Below are 21,099 nucleotides of genomic sequence, written 5' to 3' on the forward strand. Positions count from 1 at the left end.
TAACTGCCTGCCTCACAGAGCTGTCATCTTCACAGCAAGGGGACGTGCTTAGAGTAGCAGCTCGGACACAGCAGGTACTCAGTAAGTGCTAGCTGCTGCCGCTAGTGAGTTGCAGTCCCCGGCCCCCGTGCTCTGCCCACTGCACCAAAACAAAACGGGCACATCGACTTGGTGTTATCCCACTTTGCCAAGTGCTCCTCACACCCTGTTGTGCCCATCGCTCTCCACACAGCAATCCAAGGAGCCTCATTTAGGAACAGGCTGTTCCTGCCACACGGTGTGGCCTTTAGGAGAGTCCTTCTGCCTCCCCAGGGCTGGTTTTCCTGGGAGATTTCCTCTGACTTAGAAGATAAGGTTGGGCTAAATAAGACTGCAGGCCAAGAGTGCTTTGAAGAGCAGAGCACGAGGGGTTCCTCGCTGGAAGAGATTATGACAAGAGGAGACGGCGGGGCCTCGATGCAGCACCCACGGGATCCCAGGACAAGGAGAGTGGAGGCCAGATGAGGACCTGTCTCTGAGTCTCTCCAGTCTATCCACGGGGTCACAGTGGGCCCACCCCGGTTATGGCTCACCCCTTCCCCTTGCAAGGTAGAGACCAAGTCCACAAGCACTTTGTTGAGGAACAAACCAAAGGTCCTTTCTCTCCGAAAACACTGCTCTGTTTCACAGCTGGGATACTGAGGGCCAGAGAGGGAAAGTCACCACATCCGTGGGACATTCCATGAGCTAGGAAAGCGTGGCTAGGAGGACCCAGAAAAATGGCTGCCTTCTATCGTGCTTTGATGGGGCTGGGGAACTGGCAACTGGCTCACTACCCACCAGTCAGTGGCACAAATCCCACCGTTCAACCTGGGTCCTTTGCCTTAAGACTTCCTCCTTTGTCCAAATGCAGCCCTCCCCCTCCTCACCTTATTCCCCCATGCCCCCCCCATCACCCCCCACTTGCCCACCCAAAAAGCCTTTGAGCCATTTCACACTGGTGTGAATTCTTCTATCCAGAGTCCCCCCATCCCCTCCTCAGTGGGTAGCAGGCAAGAAGGCCCCAGGCTAAGGGAGGGGGCAGGGACCAGAATGGCAGCAGAACTCCGACTGCCCTGTCTTCCATTTCAGGGTGGGGGCCTCAGAGCCGCTGAGGTCTGGGAGAGGGCACTGGGAAGGAAGCCCCAGCCTGGCAGCAGCGGTCCTGGAGGTCAGGGCTAATCAGCAGCAGCCTCCCCTTGGGCCCCCCTCCCAGGGGCTGGAACTGCGTGAGTCACTCTCCACCCACTCCCTGCCCTCCCACTTACTCTAAGGTGCAGGTGGTCAGTCCAGGAGCCAATGACCTTGTACTCGGCAGAATCGTTGCGCAGCTGGTATTGGTAGATGTCATAGCGCCCAGGCGCATCTCCATTCTCATTGAAGGTCACAGGGTTCCCTGCGATGCCTGTAAGGGTGGGCGGGTGTCTTTGCAGAGCCTTTACCCAGAGGCAGGGCGGATGATGAGCCTGGGGCAGAGACCTCTCTGACACACCCATTCATGGAACATTCTGGGAGATTTCACCTCTTGGAAACATCAGGAGAGGCCTCCCATTCCCACCCCACAGAGCCTAAGGGCCCCTCCCCTCGGGCATGGCCCAGGATACCCAGGGTCAGGCACAGTCCGCACCACACCCCCACCTGAGAAGTTGACGTTTCGGATGTACTTAAGCAGCTGGGTGCCATCTACAGGGTCCATGCGCGGGCAGAGCCCCACGCGGCCGGGACACAGGTCACGGTGCATGGCGTGCAGCGCGTGGCCCATGGCGTACACGGCATCGATCACAAACTGCACCTTCCCCTCCTGCTCATAAGCTGAATCCTGCCCAATTCGCTCACGGTCTGCAATGAAACACCAGGAACAGGGACACTCGTGAGGCCCACTGTCCTCACAGTGGTGTCATGGGGGCCAGACCACCCTCTGGCCACCTGGAGAAGTGGCACGGCCCATCTGTGCATGGCCAGGCCTCCTGACTCCCAGCCCAGTGCTCTATCACCCAGGAGATGGCCCTGTGGAGGTGCCTGGAGACAGGCCCATGGGTGTAATGGGAGGGTCCACCGGCCTGGACACCGTACCACTGATGCCTGTGCCACCCAAGGTCCCAGAATATCCAGGGCAGACTACCTTGTCACCTTTCACCATGGAAGGCAGTGTCCCAGAGGTCTCCCTGTGGCTGTGGCCCTTGTTGCCTTCCCCCAAGCCTGGCCTGGGATAATCTTGAGAGCAGCTGCCCCTCTCGAAGTCTGGGAAACAGCCAGGACAGGGGCTATGTCCATCAATGAGGGGAGTGTCCTTAAAGCCACTCACCCATGGGCAGTTGCTCCAGCCAGAGGATGTTGCCCTCACCCCAGGGTATGGGTAGGGAAACTGAGGCCCAGAGAGGCTGAAAGACTGCCCTCAATGGTTTCTAGTCACCCTAAATACCAGAAGTCACCATTGCCCCATCCATCCCTCTTCTACCTCAGGGACAACCCTCTTGTCCCCCAGTGGCAAGGATAAGTGAACTTTGCAAACTGAGAAACCCATCCCCATGGGCTTCTCACTGCTAATTGCAATGACTCCCCAAGGCACCGTGACCTGGGGTCTGACCTCCCATCCTCCTCCCCTCCCCTCCGTGTCCACTGACCTCTGCTCTGGGGCCCTGTGCAGCCTCCTTGGTTGTCCACGTCAGCAAAAAGGGGATCATGATCCCACCTCACAGAGCTGCCATGAGGCTTCCATGAGATAAGGTACCGAAAACACTTGACAGCCAGCAGATGGCTCGTCCACAGTGTCCTATGTGCTAAGTGGGCAGAACAGGGGCTTCCAAGAGGGCTATGGAGGTCCCTGGGCTGGAGCAGGTGGGACGACTTTGTGGAGGGGAAGGTGGTTCTTGGCCTGGGCCCTGGGTAATCATGATATTAGATAACATATTGAATAACAACAATAACATTAAGTAAGTAACTTCCACCAGTACTTGCTATGTGTCAGGCATTGTACGGAACTCTTGATGTATATTCACTCATTGATTTCTCACAACAATGCTAAGGTGTAATCACCTCCATTGTAGAGATGAAGAAACTAACTGGGCATGGTGGCTCACACCTGTAATCCCAGCACTTTGGGAGACTGAGGTGGGTGGATCACTTGAGGTCAGGAGTTCAAGACCAGCCCAGCCAACACGCTGAAACCCCATCTCTACTCAAAATACCAAAATTAGCTGGGAACATCAGGAGAGGCCTGATGGGAGGTAGCTGTAATCCCTGCTACTCAGGAGGCTGAGGCACAAGGATCACATGAACCCGGGAGGCGGAGCTTGCAGTGAGCTGAGATTGCACCATTGCACTCCAGCCTGAGCGACAGAGTGAGACTCCATCTCAAAAAGAAACTGAAGCCCTGAGCACAGAAAAGCTCAGTAACATTCCACGACTATGAAAAGCTGATGTGAACCCAGGTACTCCAACTCCAACCCTGAGCACCACACTCTGCCACACAGGGATGCAGGTGGGCAGGAATGTGGGGAGGGGACCAGGGATCTGAAGTGAGGACATGGCAGGAGGATGGCTGGGAGGAGGAAGGGGGAGGATGGGCAGAGATAGGGAAGCCTGGATTCCCCTCCTAAGACCACAGCCCTTGCATACAGCATGGCCTTCTTCCTCAAGGACAGGACGAGGAAATTACTCCTCCTATCATTCTACTCCTAGCCCGTGCCTCTCAGCTAGAGGGCACATGCCACACTGCACAGAGGCAATTCCCCAGAGGGCAGCAGGGTGCACACCTGCACCTGTGTCCTGCCCCCATAGGCCAGGGTTAAGCTGGGTCCACATGAGGCAGTGATTCCCCGGGGACTCCAGAGGTCACTGTGTCCAGCCCCCTGCCTTGGACACCCTGAAGGCAGACCCAGGGTGCAGGGGATCTCACTGCCTCTCCCTGAGGCAGTACCCTCTAATCCCCTCACACCCTCTAATCCTGGCCACACCAGTGGCCACACCCACACAAGGATGTGGGGATGGGGGATAGCTGGCCTGGTCGCTCATTAACCCTGCCAGCCAGAACCACATCCCATTTTCAGCCTTCCTCAGGGTAGGTACTCAGATATTGCTGAGTGGACAGTAGAAACCATAGAACCACAACACTAGGGACACCAGGACCACGGGGGTCATCTGCCCCCGCTGCCATTTTAAAGACAAGAAAACTGAGGCTGGTGGGAAAGCCCAGGTCACATAGCCAAGGGCGACAGGATGGGCACTTCCAGCTTCTAGACCCCACCCCTGCTCCATCCCAGGCTGCATTTGACTTGGGTCGTGTCTGCTAGCTTTGCTAACCAGCAACACTTTTTCCAGGCCAAGGCACAAACAGACAGGATGAACACAAAAGACAGCTTCACCATCCTGCCTTGTCCAAGGCCTCTGATCACAAGGTCACGAGGGCCTAGGGAGAAATGGAATGGACGATCCCATCCCCAAAGGACATAGAGAAGGCTGGGACAGTGTCGCCTGGAAAGACCCTCCCTGGACCCACACTTGCTCCCCGCAGGCCCCTAGGCCCTTCCCTCTCCAGCCTGAAGAAGCATAAAACACTACTTGACTCCCCCACAGCTCCCATCACACCCTCATCTCATATGGATGAGAGACTAAATTATTAACCAGGGATGGAGTGGGAGGCTACGGCCGCTGCAGAGAGAAGGCAGCTCTCTCTCAAGGCCAAGGACGCACCCAGCCATGGGAGGCTAGCTGGATCTCTGGGGAAACACACCTCCCCCAGGAGGCTGGCCTCAGCCTCTCCTCAGAGGCTCCCGCTGAAGCATCCACTCCTGGGCCACTTGGGCTCGGGGCCAAGTGCTCTCTCTGGGGTCACGAAGCCATCAGTATGGATGCTAGTGTGGATATCCCGCAGGAGCCCCCTCACCAGGGTAACCTGCCTCCACCCAGGGCAGCTCTGGGGGAAGGGCTCCAGAGTGCTAGGCCTCGGGTGCTGCCCTTACAGAGCATCCATCCCAGTGCTGTCACAGCAGCGTGGACTTCTAGCAACTTCTCAGCTCCCTGTGGCCTCCTGGACTTTTGTCTCAAGTCTACCCCCAGTAGCATATGGAAAGACTGGGGTGCAGTGAAGTGACCAGACCAGGAGGATGCCCACCACACACATACACACACACACACATAGACATACATACATACACATATATACACAGACACACACACACACATAGACATACATACACATATATACACAGACACACACACACACATATACATACATACACATATATACACATACACACACATATACATACATACACATATATACACACACATATATATACATACATACACATATATACAGACACACACATACACACACAGAGACATACATACATACACATATACACATACACACACACATAGACATACATACATACACATATATACACAGACACACATACACACAGACATACATACATACACATATATACACAGACACACACATACACACACATAGACATACATACATACACATATATACACAGACACACACATACACACAGACATACATACATACACATATATAGACACACACACAGACATACATACATACACATATACATAGACATACACACATACACACACAGACATACATACATACACATATATACAGACACACACACAAACACACAGACATACATACACATATATACACAGACACAGACACACACATAGACATACATACATACACATATATACACGCAGACACACACACATATACATACATACACATATATACACAGACACACACACACAGACATACATACACATATATACAGACACACACACATACACACACAGACATACATACATACACATATATACACATACACACACATAGACATACACATACACACACAGACATACATACATACACATATATAGTCACACACACATAGACATACATACACATATATACATAGACACACACACAGACATACATACACATATATACAGACATACACATACACACACAGACATACATACACATATATACACAGACACACACACACATAGACATACATACACATATATACACATACACGCACACACAGATACACTGAAATAAACACACACACACCACACAGATACACACACACACCCCCACCACACCACACACACTCCTCAACTCTGACCTCAGATGCCTCAGGCCCTTCCCTTGTGCCCCACAGGAAACAACGACAGGACCTAGGTGACTCCCCTGGCGGGGTAGCGGGGCATGTAGGGGAGGGGTGGGGGATACTGCAGGAACCACAAACCCTCACTAAACAAGACAGGACGCTCTGGCCTAAATGAGCAGCTGCAACTATGCCTGTGACGGCAGCAGCTTTGGGCTCACACAACCCGGCTCCTCAGCAGGTGACTCTGCAGCCGTGGCTCATGCTTACCCAGAGCCATCGTGTGCCTGGCACCTCGCCTTCCCACAGCTCTGGGAGACAGGCTTCACTGGCCCCCTCACAGGGGAGGTAGCAAGGTTTGCAGGTGGGTGGGTGGCGTCCCAGAGCCTCACAGGAATCCTGGCACCAAGTAGGTGTTTGACACATACCTGTAGATGGAGCTAGCTCGGAAGTGGTGGGGCTGGGACTTGAACCCAGATGTCTTTGGTTGTCCAAAAAAGTCTTCAGCACCCTGAACTGCCCCTCCTCCATTTAGCCGCTGACCTGCCTCCTTCCCCACTGTCCTGCGACCCAGGCCCTGCCCCCATTGTCTGGCCAGGCCCAACCAGGGATTAAGGACTCCCTGTCTGCAGGTCTAGAACAGGAAGGTGGCAGTGAAGAGAAAGGGGTAGGAAAATCCCCTCTCATGGGTGGGCAGGAACCCCAGGACCAGGCAGGGGCACCGCAGTTCTGGGAGGAAGCAAGACATGCATTTCTGAGAGCTGTTGTAGGAGACAAATTCCAGACACATGGCAGTGACAGTAGCAACAGTTTGAAGATGTCCTAATTGTGTCCCGGGGCACAGTGAGGCAGAGATGCATTTGGCTCTGCCATGGGTGACAGTCAGCTGGGGAACCATCCAGGGAGGATTTTCTCTGTCAAAACCCCGAAGCGTGGTTACTACGGCGACTGCAGCCTTTGTCTGCAGGTTGTAAATTGTAATTGAAATGAGTTTTCAAGGTTGAAATAATCAGAGTCCTTCTCGTCTCCCCCCTCACTTCTCCACAACTCACCAGCCCAGCCACAATCCTCCAGTTCTAGCACTGGTACACACGTGCGTGCACACACATTGCTGAAGCAGCTCCCTCACGCCAGGGTAGACAAAATCCACCACACAGACACTCACAGGTATTCACATCTGCATGCATAGAGTAGCAAATACACAAACCTTCATGCATTTACACATGTCTACACACACATGCATGCTCTAACACAGATGTACATATAAATGCTTCTAATATAGCTACAGCTACACATTTAACACGACACTAATACAAACACATGGGCATTCAGATTCACCCACTGGCTTAGGCTGAGAAGTCCCCAAGCAGATGCTGAGGAGGAGTTGAGAGCAAGGGTTTTATTGGTGGGTGATGCCCGGAAGCATGAGGAGGGGACAGGGAGGTGAGGTGGGGGAGGAAAGTCAACTAATGCCAGCCTGTGGGGTTCCGTCCTGCTGGGGACCTCCAGGAGACCCTGCAAACTACACCTCAGCATTGTCCCATCCACAGGGATAAATGCTCCAGCTCCGCCAGTCCTAGGCTGAGGGCTGCTCTCAGGGGCATGAGCCCCATTGGTGCACACAGGGATGGTGAGTGCTGAGGGGTACGGCTGGGGCAGCGATAGCATCTGCTAAACATGCACTCATTCACATGTGCAGTCAAGCATCGATCCATGTCTACACCACACACCTACACAGATATAAACCTGCATTTACACAGCCTGTCTCCCAGAGCTGTGGGAAGGTGAGGTGCCAGGCACACGAAGGCTCTGGGTGAGCATGAGCCACAAATATACACCTACACCCGTTTTTGTCTCTTAAGCAAACTTCCAGGGAGTAGGGAGTAAAACAAGGGGGTCCCAGAACCCCATCAGAGGGCTGTCTGGTGTCATGGACCAAACAAACACACATGGCTCTGACTCTTGGCTGGGCCATGGCCCAGCTATACACTCTAGGCCAAGTATGGGAGTGTTCTAGTGCCTCAGTCTCCCAAGTGTGAATTCCGGATAGTAAGACTTACTTCGAGGGGCCACTGGGAGGACTGAGGGAGATGCAACACCATGTCTTGTGCACAGAAGTCCTCTCTCAGCCTCAGCTCTCCTTTCCTCCCTGACACGCCCCTGCTGGATGACACCCCACCCCTGGAGGCCTCCCCTCCATCCTGTCTGCAGCCTGGCTGGCACTGGCTCTAGTGCTGATTCTCCCCACTCCTTCCCCACCAACATGCGATGGGCGAGGGATGCCCACCGCATAGACAGACCCAGACCTAGCCCAACATATGGATGGGGTGGAGAAAGCTGCCACTCTGTGCTTCCTCAGACATTCAGTTCCTTCTGTCCCTCAAGTCCTGTTCCCGAGTCCAGGCTCACCATCCCACAAGCCCCCAAATTCCCAGAAGTCACCAGCCAGGATCTCCCTGGCCCAGAGTCACACGCTTGCTTTTCAGCCCTATACCGCAGTTTTGCCGGCCCCCTCCTCTCGAATTTTCATCCTCATCAAGTCGCCTGCCTTCCAGTCTGGGAATTTCTAACCCACTTGGCTGGGTCTCCTCCATCCCTAGCTCTGTCCCCCACAACTCAGCCTTGGCCCAACACCAACTCCTTCCAGTCCCAGTGAATGATGCATCCAGGTGTTTCGAGGGCTTAGTGGTTGGGCCAAAAGGGATCCCCATCTCAGTGATAAGGAAACTGAGGCCTGAGGAGGTGAAGCAGCTTACCCAGTGGGAGTCGATTCTTGACTCCCTCTCAAGTGTTCTTTTACAAGCTCCAAGAGCTCTGTGGTAGCATCGCCTGGGGCTCTTCAACCTTGAGCCAGCCACAGGCTCCTTTTGAAGGAAACCATTCTTGCAAACCCTCAAGAATATGACCCCAGCAAAAAAACACTAAGGAGAGAAGCTGAGAGCTTGGCTATGACAGTGAAGCCCAACTGTAAATGACCACAGCAGCAGAGAAGCCGTGTCTCTCAGACTGGGAGAGCTCACTTGGGGATGGCCATCAACATGAGAATGCAGACTTTAAGAATCCTCACGGCACTCCTGTGTCCCTGCGAATCTGGCCTCAAGAATGTGTCCTCAGATGTCCACAGACCTAGCTTTGAGAAACAGGATTCGAGCCCCAGGGTCTGGTGGGGCCAGCTGGAAACCCCCACTCAGCCCCTTGCTGGGCCTGGCAAGTCACTTAGCATCTATGAGCTTCAGGCCCCTCGTCTGTGAAGTAAAGCTGGCACCTGGGACTAGGCAAGGAGAGTCACACCTGGCGCCTGCACAGCCCCGTGCCCAAGAAGGATCAGCTCTCGACTCCTGCCTGGTTCTGAGGCCAACACACCTCGGCTGAGGAGCTGGGGCTCAGCTCTCCCACACAGGAGGGGCTGGGGCTGGGGGTGGGGGAACTCTGGGGACTGACTCTCAGGCAAATGTGGATGAGCCGCCCCTGCTAACAACTCCCAACGCAGACATCCCTCTCCCCCATTATTCAGCAGCCTCCCTTCAAGGAGCATCTAGCTTTCCACCTTACTAGGTGACAAGGTTTGGCTCTGTGTCCCCACCCCAAATCTCACCTCGAATCATAATCCCCACATGTCAGGGAAGGGACTTGGTGGGAGGTGATTGGATCATGGGGGTGGATTTCCCCCATGCTGTTTTCATGATAGTGAGTTCTCAAGAGATCTGAGGGTTTAAAAGTGTGGCACTTCCCCTCTCGCCTTCTCTCTCCTGTTCCACCATGGTAAGCCGTGCTTGCTTCCTCTTCGCCTTCCACCATGATTGTAAGTTTCCTGAGGCCTCCCAGTCGCGCTTCCTGTACAGCCTGCAGAACTGTGAGCCAATTAAACCTCCTGTCTTCATAAATTACCCAGTCTAAGGTAGTTCTTTATAGCAGCGTGAGAACAACTAACACACTAGGTCTTTCTCTTTAAGGTAGAAATACGAGGTCATTTCTCCGATTTAAGCAAACAAACAAATCCCCTCTCTTGACCCACCCCTCCCCAGCTAGCATCCCCTTTCTCTGTTCCTGCTTACAATGTAGCTCCTCATAAGAGGTGCCTCTGCTCACTGTCATCAGTTTCTCTCCTCTGTCTCCTGACCAACTCCAGTCTGGCTTTTGCACCCACCTCTCTAAGGAGACTGCTTTTGTGGAGGTCACAATCGCCCCCCAGGTGGCTAAATACAATGGCCCCGTCCAGCCCTTGTCTCACTTGGCCCCTGGACAGCATGTGATGGAGACAGTCACTCCCTCCTCCAGTCCTCTCTTTATCGCCGCCGGGACACCACGCTCTGGGCCCTGCTGCCTCCCAGGCTGCCCCTTCTCAGCTTCCATGCTGGCCCCCTTCTCTCTGCCCCCAACACTCCAGCATCCAGGGCTCACTGGGACCTCTTCTCTAGCCACACACACTCCTTGGTGCTCCCAGCCAGCCCCATCTGTACTCTGCCACCTCCCTAGTCACATGGCCACTCCAGCCTCTCCCTGACTCCAGCGCCTACTCCACAAGGCCACGTGGGTCCCAGCAGGCATCCCACTCTCCACATGGTCTCCACCAAAGCCCTGCCTTCCTTCCCAGCCTGCTCCTCCTCCCGCCCACCCCATCGTAGTGCGTGGCCATTTCATCCATCTCCTTGTTCCAGCAGAGAATGCTGAAGCCATCCTTGACTTTCTGTCATCTCTCTCTCACCTTCAATCCTTCCATAAACACCACGGCCACACTGCAAAGTTTACAAAGAATCTGACCCCTTCGCACCACCTCCATGACCACCACCCGCCCCAGGCCCATCATCCCCACCTGGATTACAGCACCAGCCTCCTAACTGGTCTCCCACTCTGCCCTCGCTCCCAGAGAGGAGTGAGCAGTTAGTGGCCCAGTGATCTCATTAGGACATAAATCAGGTAACGTCAATCCTCTTTCAAACCCTGCAATGGCTTGTCCCATTCTGCATAAAAAACTAAATCCTTACAAACTGCCCACAAGGCCCACATGATCTGCACTACCTGCCCGTTGCTCCCCCATGACCCTATCTCCTGCCTGTTGCTCTCTCTGCTTCAGCCACACTGGCCTCCTCATTGCTCCCCCAGGCTTGCCAGGCATGAGCCCACCCCAGGGCCTTTGCACTTGCTGAGCGCTGTGCCTGGTGTGCCCTTTCCTAGGTCTCCACATGGCTCTCTCTCTCACGGCCTTCAGGTGTTTGCTCCAGGATCACCCTGAAATCGTTAGGATGTTTGTCCCCTCCAAATCTCATGTCGAAATGTGATCCCCAGTGTTGAAGGTGGGGCCTGGTGGGATGTGTTTGAATCATGGGGGCGGATTCCTCATGAGTGGCTGGACGCCGTCCTCATGGTAATGAGTGAGTTCTCACTCTATTAGTTACAAGATTTGATTGTTAAAAAGAGCCTGGCTCCTCCTCCTCTCTTTCCCGTCTCCCTCCCACCATGACGGGAAGCCTCCTGAAGCCCTCACCAGAAGCAGATGCAGGTGCCACGCTTCTCGCACAATCTGCAGAAACGTGAGCCAAATAAGCCTCTTTTCTTTATGAATTACCCAGCCTCAGGTATTCCTTTATAGCAGTGCAAACAGACTAGCACACACCTTCTCACTGAGAACTTCTGACTTAAAAGTGCAGCATTCCTGTCCTCCCAGCACTCCCAGTTTCCTCCAAGAGGCCTCCAGGCTCTGCCTTCTCCACCCTCACAGTTAGGCCTTTTCTGGAGCCACAGCACTGACTGCCAGGCCACGCCACCATCCACTATACCTTGTCTGCAAGGCCACTCGCAGGACGGCTCCCCAGGGCAGGTCTGTCCCCCTCACTGAGCCCAACACAGAGCTGGCTGGGCACACAGTCAGGCTCTTCGTCTATGCTGTTGGTTTCTCAGTTGATGAGTGGGAAGCAGCACTGAGTGAAGGGCCAATGGTTTGAACAACTGTGAGTTCCTCTAATGGAGGCACGGCCTGGCACATAAAGGGTGCTTCCAAATGTTGGCCTTTCTTACTTGCCCAAGGAGGGAGGCTTCCTCAGGTTCTCTTCAGGATGCAGAGGTGGGAAGACCTTTCACCGGCAGGGTGGAGAAGCCAGGAGGGGCCTGGGGCTGGGATAGCACCTGGTCTAAGCAAAATGTCTCTGGAGCCAAATGGTCGGATTCAAACCCTAACTCTGTGTGACTCTGGGCAAGTCCCTAACCTCTCTGTGCTTCAGTTGCCTCATCTGTAATGTGGGTTGCTCCAAAAATTAAATGCAAAATACTGGAACAGAGCTTGACAATTAATAAATGCTATATAAATATTAGCTGTGATTATGTTTTCACTATTATTGTTGTCACTGCTGGTAGCACAGGCTGGGTGACTGGCATCTCCCCACACACCCCCAGCCACCATGCAGCTGCCCTCCCTCTCTGAGCTCCCAGCCCCTGTGTGCAGCAGGCAGTAAATTTTTCCTATCTCCTTATAAACCAGGCCTTCCTCCGCTCAGCCGTCACCTGGCTGGCAGCACTGTCAAAAAGACGGATGCCACATCTGCCTTGTTTACGACTTTAATTCCCAAACCCTGTTCTTTGGGCTCCCAGGGAGGGCCTGGGAGGAAAGGAGGAGGCAGGCGCTATCTTCCCGTAGGCTTGACAGCTGCAGAGATGCCCCTCTTGGTGACCCCAGCTCACTGAGGTTGGGGGGATCCACAGGCCATCTGCAAGTGCTTCCTGCAGATAAGCTCCCATCACTTCCTTGGAAGCCATGAGGGAGGTAGCACTCTGCTGGGGATGGAGCTCTTGGGAGAATGGGAGGGGATAATATAATTCCCATTGCACAGGTGAGGAAATCGAGGCCCCCAGAGGTGAGGTAACCTGCCCAAGGCCACGTGGCTGGGAAGTGGCAGCACCAGCATTCACACCCAGGTCTGCAGGACTCTAATAGCCGTATGCTTGAGAAAGAATGAGTGCTCCACCATACATCCAACCCTGACCCCTTCAGCACACACCAGTCCAGCCTCCAGCTGCCAGCATGTGCCACCCTTCTGAGGCTTTCTTGGGCACAGGAGCCCTCTCTGCCCAGGCACTTGGCAGGCTGGAGGTGCCAAGGAATTAATGGCCTCTCGGAGCATCCCTCCACCAATGCCTGATGGGGCACACACACACCCCGGCTCCCTCTCGCTCTCTGTGTGATGACTGAGAGGTCTGTTCCTCTGTCCCAAGAGGATTAAGCTCCAATTGTTCACAGTGGCAACCAGCTTGATCTCACACCCTTCATCTCTGCTTTCTCTCTTCTTTCCTGGAATCCCCTCCTAAATCAGCTACTTGCTATCAAATCCTCTTCTTGGGGGAACTCCACTTCAGACAGCATTGAAGGATGAATGAAATCTTCCCAAGTGTAAGATCCCAGGATAAGGGTCCTTCCCACCCTCTTGGACGGTCACCAGGCCCATCCATCACCTGGGGTGGGAAGGAATGGATTTGGCAAAGGACCCAGGAGTGGCACTTGCTCTCCGTGAGACCTTGAGCAGGGCAGGCCTGTGGGACTGAAACAGAGGCCGACTATGGAATGTGAGCACCCGAGAGAACAGAGTGAGCTGATCCTAAAGAAGTGAGGGGGAAGCTAGACTCTGGAGACAGAGTGGGGGCAGGTGGAGAATAGGTCTCGGAGACCACAGAGCATGCCTGGGCTGGCTGAGGGCAAGAGAGAGGGGCCCTGGAGGAGTGAGAGGGAAGGAGGGGAAGGGCAGGGGTGGGCACTGGCTTGACAGCCAGGCTGCCTGGGTGTGAATCAGCTCTGACAACTCTCTAGCTCTGTGATAGTCACAAGTTGCCTCAGTTTCCTCTTCTGTAAAATGGGAGTTGCATCTGTGACCATCTATACTACCCACCTTCAGGATGGCACATTCTTTCCTCCGGGATTTTACAGCAGACAGACAGAATTGGTACCAACAGACTTGGACTATTAGATTACCCAATTGCCTGTCTAAATCCCAACTCTCCCACTTCCTCTCTGTATCAGCAATAACAATCATTTTATCAGCACCTATCATACACATCATTCTCAGCCAGCCTCCTCACACGCTTATCTCTAAACCTCACAGCTCACTGAGATAGCTGTTGCCTTCCCTGATCTACTGACAGCAGCTGAGACTCAGAGAAGTTAGATAACTTGTCCAAGGTCACACAGCAGGGAGGAGGCAGAGCCAGACTCAGACCCAGGGGTGGGTCCTTCCCCTGCCCCTGCTCCCAGCTCTCTGTGGGTGTCACTCCAGCCCTCCTGGCCTAAGGCCTTCTCCTGTGGGACAGGCTCAGCTCAGGGGCAGGACCATGGGGAAACCAGAGCTGCCTGCCCCTCCCCCCAGGGTCTCAGGTCCCACAAACATTCCCAGCAGCCCCCTCACCCGCCCCTCACCTCACCCAGAGATAGACAGAGAGGCTCACAGCGCCTGGCCTGGGGCCACACAGGGACTCTGACCTGTCTCTGCTGGGGCTCCCAGTGCAGCAGGAAGGATTCGGGTCAGCTGAGACATACCGCGTCTAGAGCCCCTGCCCTTTTGCTCATGCCTCCTCACCTGTTTAGGGCGCACGCCTGATTTAGGGCACCCTCCTGATTTAGGAGGGGCGTCACCCACCCTTCCCTCCAAGCCAGAGGCTCGCAAACTTTGCTGCATAGTAGAACCACCTGGGGCACTTCAAAAAATCCTGACGCTCAGGTTGCATCCAGTGCAAATTAAACCGGAATGTCTAGGGTAACCGTATTTTTAAAAGATCCCCAGGTGATTCATTGTGAACAAAGCTTGGAAACCACTGCTCCAGCCCTAAACACACATTAAAATCACCTAGGGAGCTTTGTAAAAATCCACGGCCTAGGCCCCACCCCTAAGGTTCTGATCTAGTTGGTCTGGGGGTGGCGCCCTGGTATGGTGTTAAAAGCTCCCAGGTGACTCTAACGCACCTCCAGGCTTTACAGCTGCCACTTACAGATCAGGAAGTGCCTCCATTAACGCTTCACTTCCTTCTGGAGACACCCTCTGGGCTGGCTCATCAATCCCGTTGCTCAGATGAGAAAGCAAAGGCCCAGAAAGGTTGTAGAGCTTGCCTCAGGCTCATGGGAAAGCTCTGTGCTCTTTTTTTTTTTTTTTTTTTGAGACAGAATATCACTCTGTTGCCCAGGCTGGAGTGCACTGGCACAATCTCGGCTCACTGCAACCTCCACTTCCCCAGGCTCAAGCAATTCTCGTACCTCGGCCCCCCGAGTAGCTGGGATTACAGGTGCCCACCACTAAACCCGGCTAATTTTTGTATTTTTAGTAGAGACGGGGTTTCAGCATGTTGACCAAGCTGGTCTTGAACTCCTGACCTCAGATGAACTCCGCCCGCCTCGGCCCCCCAAAGTGCTGGGATTACAGGCATGTGCCACCACGCCCAGCCGAGCTCTGTGCTCTTCTGAACCCTGCTCCAGTCCTCCTTCCCCACCTGAGCTGACAATCAGACCAAACGCCTCCCTTAGGACTGCTGGAGAGTTTCTTGAATCCTGCCCCAAGGACTAGGAGTCTGGACAGAGCCTACAGGAACTGACCAAAGCCTTCTCCCCTCCTGTCCCTCTCAAAGAGAAGATTCCAGAAAGCCCTTCCCCTTGACAACCCAGACCCCTCGACAGCCTAGGCACTGGGTCCAGGAGGCACCAGCTGTCCATCTTGCCACCACTTCCAGTCTTTCCACCCCATCCCCACCTCATCCATCCCCACCCTCACCCCTGATCTGATCTAGGTCTGCTGATCTAAATCAGGGTGCCCATACAATTTTCCATCCCGCCTGGGCACTTCCAAGAACCGAAGGGGATGCTCTCAATAATTACACCAGAACACGGGAGACAGGATGCACGGTCACCCCACCCATGAGGGCTCAGCCTCCACACCCAGGCATCTTTTCACTTCTCACACCTCTATTGTGATTACTGCCTGATGCAGGCATTTGCTGAGCAGCCTCGGGCAAGTCACTTGGTCTCTCTGACTCTCCATATCCTCGTCTAGAGTGCAGGAATCTTAAGAGTTCCTAGAGTTGCTGTGAGAGTGAAATGTCTTTCACATTTTAAAGATGATGTCTTTAAAGTGTCTGAACACAGTGGATACATAGTAAACAGCAATGTTTATGTTTAGCTCACCCAGGAATACATAAGCCCCACATAAGACACAGGCACACACATCCCTTCTCTCTCAGGAACACCAGCTCACACACATGCAAAGTCATGTGCCACAGGTGTATACACAAACACTGCCACACTGGGCACACTCACACACTAGCACTCACTCTGCAGATCAGGTGGGTTTGGCTGTGAGCTTCTCTGGGTCCCCAGTGGTCCAGTGGCTGCAAGTCCCCGTGGGCTCTGGCCACCAGAGGGCAGCATGCTCCCCACCCACCCTCATCACACTCACTTCTCCCCTGGCTCTGGAGGAGCTAAGACTCCATGCAGCGCGTCCCCCGCCCTTTGCCCAAACTGCACGATCAAGTCTGAGAGAATACAGGAGATAACTCATCATCCTCGATTAGGCACCACTCAGGCTGAGAGGCACCAGAGCACCCCAATGTTATTGAGTCTGGGTCCTGCCGCAGAGCCACCCAGACCCAGGGCGCGCAAAGACCCCTGTCCGGATGTATCTGAAGTGGACACGCCATGATGGCTACCTAGGGGGCGGGGGCCCTAGGGCTCAGACCCAGGAGCAAGTCATGCTCTACCGCCCTCTATCTATGGGAATTCAAGTCCCTCTACTCACCTCCTCTAAGCCTCGGTTCTCCCATCTGTAAAATGGCCCGATCACTGCCCCTCCCCTGTGCGGCCTATCCCTCTCATGTGAGGGCTCAGATGTCACCTGCGCAAGCAGGCCGTCCCTGGCCACTTCACAGTTGCAGTTTCCCTTCCCCTCACACTTTCCGTTCTTTTTATTGTCTGTTTTGTTTCTTCTGCACATTTCTGTTCTGACATATTCTATCATTCACTCGTCTTGTTGATCGTCTGTCTCCCCATTAGAATAAAAACTCCAAGCGCCATTGGACTCTTTCTTCACTGCTATATATCCACCATGCTTAGAACAGGGCAAGGCACGGCCTAGGAGCCAAACTGGTGCTTGCTGAGTGACTGAGGGAACCCTGGAGGTTAGAGGTAGTTTCTGGAAAGTGCCCAGCCTGGTGTGCATCAAGACTGGATACAGGTTAGGAGGGGTCAGTTCAGTGCTGTGGGCTGGCCCTAGGGCCGTCCACATCAACCCCGAGGCGGCCAGAGGCCTTACCACTCCCAAGGATCTCAAGGCCACACCCCAAATCTGCTGTGGCCCCGCCCCTCAAGGCCCCGCCCCAGGCCTCCCAACTCCACCCCAGGTGCAGGCCCAACTGCACGTCCTGCCACGGCCGGCCGACGACAGACAAAGGGAGACTCTCGGCCTCAGGCCCCCAGGCTCGGCCCTCCCCGGCTCCTCCTAGAGCCCGCCCGGCCCTGCCCGGCCCGCGTGCTCACTGGTGCACTTCTTGACGTGGCTGCCCTTCTTGAGGGCGTGGCGGCTCAGCTTGCAGTGGAAGTTGTCCTCCCAGAACTCGGCAAACCAGATGTTGCGCCGGTTGTTGTCCAGCGTGCGGCTGGAGAAGTAGCGGTCGAAGCCTGGCAGGGAACCAGGACGTCAGGGCCTCACTGGCCTTCTTCCCCACCAGCCCCAGCCCTCCCCGCCTCCCCCAGGATAAGAGATGGTCCAGGCGGAGGGAGAGAGACCAGGAGGAGCACATCCTCTGATCCAGGAGAAAACAAAATGTGGAGCATTTCGTTTCTTTCAAAATGAAAAGAGCTGTATTAGGTCCCAGGGGGATCGTGTGTAATCTACAACTGCTGCCTTTATGGAAGAGAAGCACACCGATGAGGATGTTTCCACGGCCTTTAACCGCTGCAATGCTAACAGCGGGCTTTGAGAAGGAGCCGCCTGGGAGTCCTGAGATTACAGCACAGAGGCTGGTGGGGCTGCCCAACCCGGGGAGCACCTGAAGAGGAGACCAGGCCAGACAAGGAGGGAGGGAACCACCCAGATCACACAGCAAGACCAGGACCTGGACCTTCTTCCTTCACATCCAGGACGTCCCCATCACTGACAGAGGCTGCCTGCCTCCTCCACATGCTCTGCGTGGCTCACACTTCTGCTCTCAGCCTTGGAAAGCCTGTCCTAGGGTGGGCAGGCTGGCGGTGAACAACACCCCCTCCTCCTCCCAGACGCCCCCCTGCCATACTGACTGTTCTAGGCACTGTGGACTGAGCTGCTCTGTATGGGCCAGAGGCCTGAAAGCTCAGCGGGGCCACGTGGAGCTTCCTGCCCATGGAAGCGTCCAAGTGGAAGCAAAATGACCGGCCACGTGGCAGGAGACGCACTGGCATCGAGCAGGAGGTTTGGCCTGCAGTAGGATTTCTCAGCCTCGGCACTGTGGACGCTCTGGGCGGGATAATTCCTGTGGGGGGCCATCCTGTGCACCGTACGATACTGAGCAGTACCCCGACCTCTACCCACTGGAGGCCAGCAGCAGCATCCCCCAACTGTGACAACCAAAAATGGCTCCAGAAATTGCCAAATATCCCCTTGGGGGGCAAAATCGCCCCCAGATAAGGACCATTGTTCTAAAAGTTTCTCTAATGTTCCTGAGAGAAAAAGTACTTGTCAGGCAAGTCCTGGATTCTGGTCCCAACTCTGCCACTCGCTGTACTGTGTGTGTCTCAAGCTCTCTGAGCCCTGTGTATCCATCTACTAAATGCGGGGAAGAGTGCATCACAGGGATGCTGGGGAGGCTAAAGGAGATGTCTGTAAGGGGCCTGGCACTGGTAAGCACCATAGCAGTTATTGTTATGTTGTGTTTATTGTGGCTGGGGCTGGTATGGAAACTCTCGCTATGTGTGTGTGGTGGGTGGGTGGAGGCGTGTTGAATGTGTGATGGGGTAAGAGCTGTGGGGATGGATGAGCCAGGAAGGCATGAGTCTGAGAGGACCGGGGCTGGGCAGAGGTGGTTCCAGAGCCTGAGTCAGACATGGGGCAGGTGTGGATGTGGGGGGACAGATGTGGTCTTTGCAGGGACAGGCATGGGCCTGGGGGATCACACTGGGCCTGTAGGCAGACGTAGACCCGGGGGGCAGGTTTGGATGACATGGTAGCCATGGGCCTCTGGACAGGTATGGGCCAGGGCTAGAAGGCGCCATGGGCCAGGGAGCTCCCTCTGCCTCAGTATGAAGAGAGGACACTGCTGTGTGACTTTGAGCAAGTCCCTCCCCTCCTCAGGCCTCCGTGTCTTGGGAAGTACCTTGGAGAGGCAGATGTCTGCAGTCCCTCCCAGCTCCATTAATGCTGGATTCTATTGAAGGGAGGGAGGGCAGGGAAGGAGAGGGCCCAGGGAGCCTTCTCCCCATGGTGAGGACTGCCAGGTCCCTGCCAAATCAGGCCATTAACGAGAACGTCACACCTCACTCTCTGTGAGGTTCTGGCCAGAGAAGTTCGTTCCTGCCCAGGTGACTGTGGGTTCTGCCCTGAGAGGAGGGGATTCAGGGTGAGGCAGGCCCAACCTCAGCACCATCCTGGGGCCTGTCAACCCCAGGCAGACTCTTCAGGAAAGGCCTGTCCTGTAGCCCCGGCAGGGCGGCTCCCAGCCTCTTTCAGCAGCGGACTCTCCACACACCTTCCACCCCAAAAATGTCTGAGAAGAGAGGAGGGAAGGTCTTGAATCTGGATTCAAATTCTGCTTTGTTGCACGTGGCCTAAAAGAACTCCCAGCCCAAAACCTCAGAACATAAGAGGCTGTGGGCCAAGGAAGAGAAAAGGAAGGATATGGAAAGAGGCGGAGCAGAAGGGGAAGGAAGCCGAGGAGGGATGGCAGGAGGAGCAGTCCAGGATGGTGCCGACCACCTGCACCCGCCCAGCCTTACCTCGTACGGACATCCTCTTGGGGAGGATCGTGACAGCACCCTCAGCCACCTCCTCCAGGTGCAGCACAGGTGCAATCTTGGAGCCCCAGCTGTCAGAGCCCATCCAGAAGAAATGGCCTGTCTGGTTGGCCCTTCGTGCTGCCTCCAGCACACGCCTGTAGGAACATACACCAGCCCAGCCCAGCCGCGTCTGTCCACGAAACTGCCCCCACTCCTGGCCACACTTGCTTTGGGCCCACGTCCCTCACCCCCAGAAGCCCAGGGTCCACAACTGTCCCAGCACCGATGCTTTCACCCCAAGCCATGGATTCCCCCTACCCGCTGCCCTCACCTGCTCATAGACCCATGGCTACCGCCTCATCCAACCTGCCTGCCCCTGGGCCCACGCCTGCTGCAGGCCCAGCGTGATTCTCCAGGCCTACATCTGTCCCTGCAAAGACCACACCTCTCCCCTCCAGATCCACACCCGCCCCACGTCTGACTCAGGCCCCACAACCACCTCTGCCCAGCCCCGGTCCCCTGAGACGCATGCCTTCCTGGCTCATCCACCCCCACATTCCTTGCCCATTCTCACACGCATCCACCATCACACAACCGCCGCCCTCACCCCTCTGCACATGCTGCCTTCTGCCCACAGCTCCCTCTTCATTCACCGCCCTCTGTGCCAAAATTCCAGGTCCTTCAGAGAGCTGCTCCCCACACCCTGAGTGGGAGTGGGTGATGGAGGGAGATGGGTGTGGAGCCAGCTGCCCAGTGCTCACACACAGCCCAGTCTGCCTGTGATGGTAATATAAATCAAACCAGGGACCCAAGAGCCCAGCCCGGGGCTGAGGAGCCCACAGCAAGCGCTCAGCCAGGGCTTCATGGAGGCATGAATTAAGTGGCCCCTCAAAGACATCTCAGAGGGGAAAAACAAGGAGGAATGGGCAGAATTCCCCTAACCCAGCTCCCACAAAAAGAGACTGAGGTAGGGAGGAGGCAAGGAACTTGCTCACAGTCACACAGCAAGTGAGAGGC

The 21,099-nt window shown here is 54.9% G+C and overlaps 1 protein-coding gene across 6 annotated transcripts in view, besides 5 other annotated features; it reads right to left on the reverse strand.

The window, feature by feature from the left end:
• GRM4 (glutamate metabotropic receptor 4) overlaps positions 1-21,099 on the reverse strand; it is a 136,980-nt gene that overhangs the window by 20,249 nt on the left and 95,632 nt on the right. For 4 of the 6 annotated variants that reach the window (NM_001282847.2, NM_000841.4, NM_001256812.2 and 1 more), the window contains 4 exons: positions 20,083-20,237; positions 17,653-17,793; positions 1,657-1,857; positions 1,287-1,423 (listed from right to left, as the gene is read on the reverse strand). In NM_001282847.2, coding sequence (NP_001269776.1) covers positions 1,287-1,423; positions 1,657-1,857; positions 17,653-17,793; positions 20,083-20,185 — 582 coding nt within the window. In that variant the 5' untranslated portion in view covers positions 20,186-20,237. The remainder of the gene's footprint in view (positions 1-1,286; positions 1,424-1,656; positions 1,858-17,652; positions 17,794-20,082; positions 20,238-21,099) is intronic. The other 2 variants (NM_001256809.3, NM_001256811.3) reach the window with 1 other exon arrangement.
• Positions 8,870-9,424: an enhancer, noted in NCBI's record as "H3K4me1 hESC enhancer chr6:34015538-34016092 (GRCh37/hg19 assembly coordinates)". NCBI's record gives its function as "activates a minimal SCP1, AML or CMV promoter by ChIP-STARR-seq in primed H9 embryonic stem cells {active_cell/tissue: H9 hESC(primed)}" and the evidence as "EXISTENCE:reporter gene assay evidence [ECO:0000049][PMID:30033119]".
• Positions 9,425-9,978: an enhancer, noted in NCBI's record as "NANOG-H3K4me1 hESC enhancer chr6:34016093-34016646 (GRCh37/hg19 assembly coordinates)". NCBI's record gives its function as "activates a minimal SCP1, AML or CMV promoter by ChIP-STARR-seq in naive and primed H9 embryonic stem cells {active_cell/tissue: H9 hESC(naive and primed)}" and the evidence as "EXISTENCE:reporter gene assay evidence [ECO:0000049][PMID:30033119]".
• Positions 9,979-10,532: an enhancer, noted in NCBI's record as "NANOG-H3K4me1 hESC enhancer chr6:34016647-34017200 (GRCh37/hg19 assembly coordinates)". NCBI's record gives its function as "activates a minimal SCP1, AML or CMV promoter by ChIP-STARR-seq in naive H9 embryonic stem cells {active_cell/tissue: H9 hESC(naive)}" and the evidence as "EXISTENCE:reporter gene assay evidence [ECO:0000049][PMID:30033119]".
• Positions 16,421-16,715: a silencer, noted in NCBI's record as "tiled region #5466; HepG2 Repressive DNase unmatched - State 12:CtcfO". NCBI's record gives its function as "represses a minimal TATA promoter and a strong SV40 promoter by Sharpr-MPRA in HepG2 cells {active_cell/tissue: HepG2}" and the evidence as "EXISTENCE:reporter gene assay evidence [ECO:0000049][PMID:27701403]".
• Positions 17,361-17,655: an enhancer, noted in NCBI's record as "tiled region #4098; K562 Activating DNase matched - State 4:PromP". NCBI's record gives its function as "activates a minimal TATA promoter and a strong SV40 promoter by Sharpr-MPRA in K562 cells {active_cell/tissue: K562}" and the evidence as "EXISTENCE:reporter gene assay evidence [ECO:0000049][PMID:27701403]".

This window comes from Homo sapiens, chromosome 6 (genome assembly GCF_000001405.40).
Source record: "Homo sapiens chromosome 6, GRCh38.p14 Primary Assembly".
Lineage (NCBI taxonomy): Eukaryota > Metazoa > Chordata > Mammalia > Primates > Hominidae > Homo > Homo sapiens.